Raw genomic sequence first — 10,030 nt, 5'->3', positions numbered from 1 at the left:
CAAAAGTTTTAGTTAAGAATCACTTGGTTGCAAGTTACTAAAAACAAACCAAACAATCAAAGATTAAAACAAAAATCACTCAAACCTATTTATACAAAAGGAAGTTATTAGAAGTGTCTTATGGAATTAGAAAGTTTCATCAGTTAGAAAGTTTCATCAGTCCTCATAAGGAACTGGAGCCAGGAATTGAAGAGTCAATGGGAAGTGAAGAAGGATTCTCTCTCTCTTTCTCTCTCTCTCTCTCTGTGTCTGTCTTTCTGTCTCTTTCTCCCCTCACTTGGCTTCATTCTCTGTACTCTCTGTGCAGTCTGACCTTCACTGTTTCTCTGTTTTGGTAAGTTTTTGGCTCACAAACAAGGCCCTACCTCAGCTGCACACTGCTTATCAGTTTCAGCACTTCACATGGTCCTCACCCTACCTCAAGGTCCCAATTCTCATTTTCAGAAGGGAAAATCTGATTGGTCAGCTTGGATCATGTGTCCACTACAATTCAATCAGTGGTGACTACAGGGATAGGTAACTTGTTCCATTGATCTCTGCTGTCTGAGAAAGAGGTATGCACAGATCCTTAACAGGGTGTGAGAATAAGGAGACATAATTACAAGAGGGAATAATGGGTCTCTGGTATAGCATGAAATACAAGAAGGCCTATGAGAATTGTCAGTGATAGCTGAAAAGTCCAGAAACCAGGGGGGACCAACAAGAAGGTCCCTATTAGCACAGCAGCAAACAAATCCATGACTATAGAGAAACTATTGGGACAATGACCACTTTAAGCCAAACTTATGTTTCTTTGCCTTTTTGACTCTTTGATTCCATCCCTTCCTGTCAAAATTCAACTCGTTATGTAATAAAATCTTGGGAACGATCTGAATGTCTATCACTATGGGAATGGTAGATCAAATCCTGGAAGAGTCATTCTAGGAAACACTGTGAATCTATTAGAAGGAATGAGTTGAATCAATGTGTATTAAGCTGAGAAAATATTTGGGATTCTATGAAATGAAAAATAAATTGCAGAATAGTATACATGATATACCATTTGGGTTAAAAAATACCCACAAGTAATAACAGCAGCAGCTGAGTTTGAGACAGTGGTATATGTATAAGGGAGGAAGGATATACCTGACAATTGACATTGATTATTTTGGTTTTGGAGAGGTAGACTTGGAGAGAGGAAAAGGTAGACAGTTAATATTTTCTTTATATACTTCTGTATTAGGGTTCTCTAGAAGGACAGAACTAATAGGATAGATATATCTATATAAGGGGAGTTTATTAAGTATTAATTTACACAATCACAAGGTCCCACAATAGGCCTTCTGCCAGCTGAGGAGCAAGGAAAGCCAGTCTGAGTCCCAAAACTGAAGAACTTGGAGTCCGATGTTCGAGGGCAGGAAGCATGCAGCTTGGGATAAAGATGTAGGCTGGGAGGCTAGGCCTGTCTAGTCTTTTCACAGTTTTCTGCCTGCTTTATATTCTAGCCATGTTGGCAGCTGATTAGATGGTGCCCACCCAGATTAAGGCTGGGTCTGCCTTTTCCAGCCCACTGACTCAAATGTTAATCTCCTTTGGCAGCACCCTCACAGACACACCCAGGATCAGTACTTTGCAACCTTCGATCCAATAAAGTTGATATTCAGTATTAAACATCACAACTTCTGATTGACTTAACTTATTAGGAAGTATACATGTTACAGTTGTGACTTTTTTAGGTTTATAAATAAGGTGGAAAGTTGTTACACAGTCTATATTTAAAAAGCTCTTCTTTTTTTTTTTCAGACAGAGTCTTGCTCTGTCGCCCAGGCTGGACTGCAGTGGCGCGATCTCGGCTCACTGCAAGCTCCACCTCCCGGCCGGGTTCATACCATTCTCCTGCCTCAGCCTCCCAAGTAGCTGGGACTACAGGTGCCCGCCACCATGCCCAGCTAATTTTTTGTATTTTTAGTAGAGACAGGGTTTCACCGTGTTGGCCAGGATGGTCTGGATCTCCTGACCTCGTGATCCACCTGCCTCAGCCTCCCAAAGTGCTGGGACTACAGGCGTGAGCCACCGCGCCCGGCAAAAAGCTCTTCTTGAATACTACCACTTCTGGCCTTTCACATACAGTTGAACTCTGTGGACAAACCCCCATAGAATGTAGACCTCTCATGATTCTGATATTCTTCCTGAAATGACAGATGTTGACTGTTTCTCTTATCCTTATTCTTATGCTTACACTATACACTCCATCAGAGAGCTATTTTTAGAATCCCTACAATATCGAAAACATGCCTTATACAGAAGAGGTACCAATTAAATCCTTATTGAATAGGATTAACTCAATATTCAGCAATTTTTCCAACATGCCCTGTATGTTGTCTTCAAAAAGGCAGATTTTCTCTAAGAATTTGCCTTGCCTTGTAAATACAATATCTATTCATTTTATTTTTCTGTTAGAATGGCGTATTATTTTCTAGCCATTTCAAGGTAATTTATATTTTTGTTCCTAATTTGAGGGGAAACAAAATGAGTAATTTAAAAAAAATATTGTGAGCTAACTCAGTGAACTCCAAGCAGCCATGTGTCTTTAAAATTAATTTGGAACACCCCAAGTGACCTTGGCAGGCACAGTCCAGCAAGTCCAGGTCTTGAAAAACTAAAGCTGTGATTAACCCTGTCAGAGATGAAATGGCTGATGTCAAACTCTGCCAAATTACACCCATGCTTGACCTGCTCTTCTCCTTCTGAATGCACCTCATTACTGAGAAACTATCATTCAAGGGACATATACTTAAACATTTAATAAATCTGTGATCAAAATCCTGGCGCATAATTAAGCCTTTGATAAAAGTGAAAGAGAACAAAAGAGATTGGGAGCAGAAGCAAGGTGGAACACAGAACAAAGGGAAGAGTAGGATGGGGAAGGTGTTTGTGCTGAGTCTGAGGTCAGAAATTCTGAGCCATTCAATTGTCTTTTGGACCATGATTTCACTTGGATCTGGCGACAGCAAATTTATAAGAGGCTAAAGACCAATTGCAACAAACATTTAAAAAGCTTCCAAGGAGTTAGACCAAGGCACTTTCAATAATGCTAGCAATGGCAGCTGACCTTGAGTTCACCCATCACTATATAGCAAAAATAATTTGTCTCAGTGCAATAAAGTCATAATGAATAAAATACATACCTGTGAAAATTACTGAAATGGAAAAGGCTTGGGAAGAAGTACCACATAATATATACCAAATAGGGTGAATAGCTGGGCGATGTAGTGACAGGCAGCAAGACACAGTGAGAAAACAATGGGTCGGGGGTTAAAAGACATGTTTTCTGGTCCAGTTTTTACCACTAAAATGGCTATGTGGCCTTGAACTCATCATTTTGCCTCTTAAGGGTTGCGGATTCCCCATCTTAATATTATAAATCACAGGAATGTCTTTTGCTTCTCAAGCTGCAATGTGCAAAAGAACCACCTGGGAATCTTGTTAGAATGCAAATTCTGATATATTAGATTTACGGTAAAACTGGAGATTCTGAATTTTTAAAAGCCCTGGGTGATCCACATACCACACTTTGAGAAGCAAGGAATTCGATAATTTCCAAATTCCCTTCCAGTTCAGAGGTTCTGATTGCTAAATCAGAATCTCTACTTGCTCACGTAAGCCCTTCTGAGTTTCCCTCCTCTTCTGGCTTAGGCTGACCTCTGTCTTTAGACGCAGTCTGCCTTCCTTCCCAATTTAACAGTGCCACAATTCCTGTGTCACCTGGGATTTTCCTCCTCAACCAGGTGAAGGAAAATGGAAGCTGGAAAACCTGCCCTTTCCCATCTTCTGAGCTTGGAGGCAAGCACAGAGGCTCTTTTCTCTTTAAAAGGTTTTACTCCTTGTCATTTGGAAAATAGACAAGGGGAAATTATAAAAGCTTCAGAAAACTTGTTAATATCCTGGACATTTCTTGCCAAGGCTTCTTCCTATACATATACACAAAAATATGTTTTATGGAAATGGGAATTACAGTAAGTAATATATATATATATGTTTTATATATATTAGGTAATATATGTTTTATATATATTAATATATAGAAGTAATATATATATGTTTTGTTCACTACAAAATTATAATTGGTTTTCTCATTTCATTAAAAATTCTTTAAAAATGTGATTTTATTGTCTTCATAGGTACTCCACACAGATAATGTTCATTATTTATATAGCAGTTATAAGACATTTGTTTGTTGCCATTTTAAATAATACTAAGATAAACATCCTCATACCTTTTTAGCTACCATTTATTAAGCATTTACTATATGCCAGACATTATAGTAAATGCTATGCTGACACCATCATCTCATTTAATCCTCACACTCATCATACTTCAAGCTGAGCATTATTGTGATTTTCCTTCTATTGAGAAGGAAACTGAGACACAGAAAAGTCAAACAACTTACTCAGGATCACACAGCTGAGTCCGTGGCAGAGAAGCAACCACACTAGGCTCTAACTCCAAAGCCACGCTCATAACCACTATCTGACAGTGTCTCCTTGTACATAAGTCCCAGGTACCTCTCTGATGATTTCATTAGGATACAGATTTTTTTTTTCTGCCTGTGTGTGAATTTTAAAATTTAACAACAAAAGTCATACAGGTTCACGTAAACAATTCAAGCCATGCAGGAATGTAAAAGAAAAGTGAGACTTTTTCCTTCCTTTCCTTCTATAATTTCTTGAGGTATATTTTCTTTCTATGCATTTTCTTTGCTTAAATAGTACATAGGAAAATGAGAATCCTGTGTTCTTTACTACTTAATCTCTAGTGCCTGGCACAGAGCTAGCTAGGCCTTAATAAACATTTGTTTAAAAAATAAGTGAAACATTGAATGGTTTTTATTTTTAGTAAAAATGTAGTCTTAACAATACTAGTTTCTCTGAAATTATTTTCACTGAATATATATCAAGCAATGCTCCAGGGCAAAAGATATAGCACTAATTCTTTTTAAATAACTGTATAATAGTCCATAATATGAATGTACCATAATTTGTTAAGTTGTATCCCATAAATAGAAATACATGTTTATAAGTTTGGGGAGTTTCTAAGTTTCTAATAATGTTGCATTAAACATCCACATGTACCTTTATGTGCTGATGTTTTTTAATTCTTTAAGGTAGTCCGGAGAATTGGGATTATTTGTCCAAAGGGGATGTACATTTTTAATTTTAATATATTATACCAAGTGATTTTCCTGAAATGCTGGGCCAGTTCATATTCAGAGAAGCAGTGTGTTAAAATGCCCATATCCCCACACCCTTAACCACCTTATCAACCTTTTACATTTCTCCCAATCCAGTGCTTAAAAAAAAATCTTGGTGTTTTGATTTGCATTTTCTTTATTCCTAGTGAGGTTGAGTGCCTTTTAAAATTTCTTTCTGTTTTCCCCTGTGAATTGCAGGAAACTTGCTCTAAAGAAAAATTGCTGGATTAAGGGATGTGAATATTTTAGCAGTGCTTGACACTTAGCCAAATTGCCTTCCAGAAGTGATGAAACAACTTACCCTCCCACAGGCAGCTCATGAAACCTCCTGTCTCACCAAACTAGGTATTGGAATTCTAAAAAGAAAATAAAGCTGTTTGCCAATTTGAGAGTCTCTGTTGATTTACTTGGGCATTTCTCACCTTCCTGTCAGAGGGCCAGGTGGGAGCTCCTGGTTAGGAGGAAGGAGGGGCCTTAGGCACCAGGCCTAGGGAGGGCAGCCAGGAGCTATAGTGGGAGGAGGCACAAGGCATTTCCAAGACCACAGCTGAGCAGGAGAATGAGCACTCCTCTGTATCCAAAAGAATTGAGAGAGCTGGCCCAGGGGTGGGGGTGAGTTTATATGGGAGTCGACTGCCAGGACACGGCCAGGGTGCTGGGGGGCCGTGGGGAGGGAGGGGTGAATGTTGCGCTACAGCATGAGCTCAGTTTCTCCTGTCACATTCCAGAAGAGCTGGCCACAAATGGGCACAACCAAATTGAACAGAACTTAAGTGAAATGAACAACTGCTGCTCAACAATGGCCATAAGCAGAGCTTCAGCCTAGTGAATGGATTCTTGCACTGTGAACTATATAATCAAGTAGTGTATATGTAGAGGCTGTTCACACAAATCCTAAAGCAGAGTAAGGCATGAGCTGCTTGAGAGGCAGATTGAGCTATGGTGAGCTGAAATAGAAAGAGGCTGCCTACAAGTATTAGAAATAGGAAATTCTTTCTGGACAGGGGTCAGGAGGTTAGAGGTCCTCAGTCCTAAAGAAGGAGGTGTCCTATTACCCCTGGCCCTCCCGACACCCCAGAACTTCAGGCAGCCAGTTGGAAGCCCTCACCAATCCACATGTAGCCCTCACAGATCCATTGGTGGCTCTCACACCAGTCCAAGATCTATAGGCTGATCAGAGTGAAACAGGTGATTTAGACCATACCTCCACACTAAAGTTCAGAGGCTCAGTTCAAATTGTCTTTGGGTGCCGCCAGCTAGGTCAAGCTGGGATTCAATGTAGCTGTTTAAGAAAAATCTAGTTGGTGACCTCTCTGCAGTTTAGATAAGCCTGGGTCTTTGTGGCTTTTGCTGAAGAAAGGGGAAGGGATTTTATGCAAGAGAGGAAGAGTGAAGGAGAAAAAGCAGTAAGAAATGGGTGGTTTGGTTGTGACGTGATCCCTGCGCCCTTAGACCTCAGGGTCCGGAGGGATTGGTTTTGAGGCCCATAGGAGAGAGGCCAGAAGGATTTGCTCATCCTGAAAGTCTGTGTCTGGACTAAGGCGGGGTGGTCTCAGGCTGAGGTGAGCCCTCCAGACTTGAGAAGCCAGTTCTCCTCCCTGGCCCCTAGACTCTCAGGGTCATTAACCTGAGGGCAGCTTTGCTGCTCTGACAGCCCAGGGCAGTGAGAGCAAAGGAGGCAGTCTTCAAGAGATTTGCCTCCTCATGAAGGCCACCAGTGAAAGCATCTGGATGGTACCAGTGAGAACTGGGGAATAATTGGGGAAGACTAGGGGAGGGCAGACGTGGAAGTCCTTCATGGGGCAATGTGGACTGAAAGTCACCAGGATCTGGGTATTAGTGTCAATAAAAATTCATTTGTACTATACTTTCCTGGTACCTGGGGACAGTTTAGTTGCAGAAAGAATAGTATATGAGATCCCAGCTGGTGTGTCATAAAGCTAACCAGTGCTCATTTGGAGAAAATGAACTTAAAACTCCTTAAATAAAGGTGCCCAGTCACCTTAGATGAAGCCCTCCAGCAAAGCTGAAAGAGCATCTTAGAATCCCATAGCCTATTCTGATGTGTTGTTCACTAGGTTCCATGGAATTCCCACTATTAGAATGTGGATTTTTTGATAACAACTTCTAGGGAGGCCAGAGTTGCTTTAATTAATTTAAGTTCCCATTACATAGTATTATCTATATATTAGCCCTGAACATGGGAGATGTTTAACACTTATTAATTTGGTTTGATATGTCAATCCAGTGCATATAGTTTATTTTTCAAAATTATATTAAACCCTGAAGTTTGCATTAGCTATGGTCCCATTATAATATATTAAACCGTGAAGTTTGCATTAGCTGGTCCCATGAGGAGCAGTGACATCCTCTCTCTCTTAACACTTTGATACCTCTCCAACTATTCACACCATCAAGAGAACCTCTTGCCTGTTTACCTATGATGAGGCCCCATGATTCACCTATAAAGGCTTTGAGTAGGGAGGAGGGGTAAAGGGCATGAAACTCCTTTAAATTCCAGAAAACTACAAGAAACAGAAGCCCTTTGCTTCTCTAGGGGCTCTACTCCAAATTTCTCATTTGGCAAATGCCGTATTTCTGTGACTGACTTCCCATTTGCAAAGACAAACTGGTTTCAGGACAAAATTAACATAGGCTGTTTATTCATAAACTTGCAGCAAGGGAATCCATCTGCTATCACTTTCATTTCAGCAGGGCTTTGAGGGTGTAGAGAAGAGGAAGTTTTAGACAGTAAGGAGAAATGCTGGGACAAGAATCTGATTGTCCGGCTTTCTGCTAAGGTGGGATGGAGAAGCAGGGGAGACTCATTGATCTTGGGGTATTTTTAGCAATTCTTGGTCTGCTGCAAAGGAGCAAGCAAGCAGTTAGGGGACATTTCAAACAAGGAAACATTGTTCAGTGTCAGGAGCAGAGGGTTTTCTGTGGCTGGCCACTTTGCAGAACAAGTAGGGATTGATCAGGTGCTTTTCTCATGGGTTTTATGTGAAGCTGACCAACACGGCAGGAAGTTTCTCACGTCCAAAGCCAGTAATGGTAGAGTACTTTTAAAAAAATCTTTTGCTGGAAGATAATTAACTACTATCTTGCTTCTAGACTAGAGTTAATACTTGGGAAATGTATCAATTAAAAGGAGCTTATACTTGCTTCCACCCACTTGATTACATAAAGCCCAGTGTTTATCAGAATGTCCTCCCTATCTTTTGGGCTCCCTGGAGCAGGTGAACATGTCCCCTTCAGTCCACCCAGTTGTCATCAACTGCTCAGGCCCTGGAATGCTGCCCTCTGCTTCCCACGGACATCTATGCACGCCCCTCCTGCCTCTGGAGACCAGCTTCTCTCTGGCCTCAGTTACCTTCACCTGTTCCCCTTGATCCTTCCCTTAGGCTCATTTACCCACAAGGATGGTGGAGAGTAGGCTGCAATTCTTTGAAAACCTTCACTGAAAGTCAGGGATGGCAGAAGGAAAGCACAAAACAGACTTACTGTTGTGTGATGTTCAGAGCTGCTGGGCCCAGCAGGTCCTGAGCAAGCTCTTCCTGACTTTCTCTCAGCTGGCCACCATCTTGAAGGAATCGTCTTTCTTCTCTCCAGGGAAAATACCCAACAGTGTGTCTCCTAAAGAAAGGCTTAAGACCAACCTCCACCTCCACAGAGGAAGACGTACTCCCTGCAATCCTTGCCCACCTCCACAGTCTTGATTTCCTGTCCCAGGATTGACCTAGCCTTCACCAAGGGTAGATGTCAGCTGTGATTTCCATTTCCCTCAGAGAAGCTCCACCTCCACTCTCAGGGGTGTGGTCTTATCCTCTGGCTTCCATCAAGACAACTAAATTACCCAAGAACACAGCAGGTTAGCTTAGAACATTCCAGGCTAATCAGTCTTAAGAAAGACAAAGGGTTTGTTCTCAGCCAAGATACCATGGTATAGGAACTGTAATGAGCAAGGATTTATACACATAATTTTGATCCTGCTAACAGCATGGCAAGGTGAAGATAGTAAAACTCATTTTACACATGAGGAAACTGAAGTTCAGAAAGCTTAAAGAACAAGCCCAGGATCACTCAGCTGGAAAGAAGTGGAATCAGAATTTGAACTCAACTCAGCTTGAGATGTGACTTAAAATAGCCATTGTCTCTCCCTACTGTTACCTACCAGATACTCTACTGTCCGATTCCTTTGACTGTCCATTCTACATTGATACTTCTTTCCTTTCAGCTCTGTCTCCCTTTACCTAGCTGGAGTTTTCTTTGTCATAATCCTTCTCTTCTCTCCTCTCCTCTCCACCTCCTCCCTCTTTATCATCTTTCCTTCTCCTCTCCCTTGTCCTCCTTCATCTCCTAAATTTAGAACAAAGGTGGTATTTTCCTATCCATTTAGCAGTCTTACTTGTGAGAAGTGACTGGCAGTTTGATTAACGGGTAAGTGACTTGACTTTTCCTGGGAGCATTTTTGCTTTCCAAGGAGACCATTGTGGTTGTCACTGATCCCAGATCTCTGGCACAGTGTAATTTCTTCTAAAAATGTCAGAGTGCAAGGGCTATGTCCATATAAATACTAAAACTGAGCAGAAGTTACAGGTCCTTGGAGAAGAAAAGTTGTCTAATTGTGTGGCTGGTTTCCAAAATTCCCCTTGGTAATCCTTCCTTATGACTGTTTCTCTTTTACAAAAATACTTTCCAGAAGAGTTTGGAATTTGCCTTAAGAGGTGTCGGAGCACCTATCCCAAAACACACTCCAATAGCAAAGTTATCTGAAGCAAATTATTACTGGAGGCAGTG

At 41.2% G+C, this 10,030-nt stretch overlaps 1 long non-coding RNA gene across 1 annotated transcript; it reads left to right on the top strand.

Annotated features, from left to right (window-relative positions):
* The first annotated feature begins 3,691 nt into the window (after positions 1-3,691).
* On the top strand, positions 3,692-5,619 carry LOC105369488 (uncharacterized). Its single transcript, XR_948008.3, has 2 exons — positions 3,692-3,995; positions 5,429-5,619. It is a non-coding gene; the product is annotated as an uncharacterized LOC105369488 (long non-coding RNA).
* Positions 5,620-10,030: the final 4,411 nt, after the last annotated feature.

Source organism: Homo sapiens, chromosome 11 (assembly GCF_000001405.40).
Source record: "Homo sapiens chromosome 11, GRCh38.p14 Primary Assembly".
In the NCBI taxonomy this organism is placed as follows: domain Eukaryota; kingdom Metazoa; phylum Chordata; class Mammalia; order Primates; family Hominidae; genus Homo; species Homo sapiens.
The sequence above is the reverse complement of the archived record's forward strand: the minus strand, read 5'-3'. Positions and strand labels throughout refer to the sequence as shown.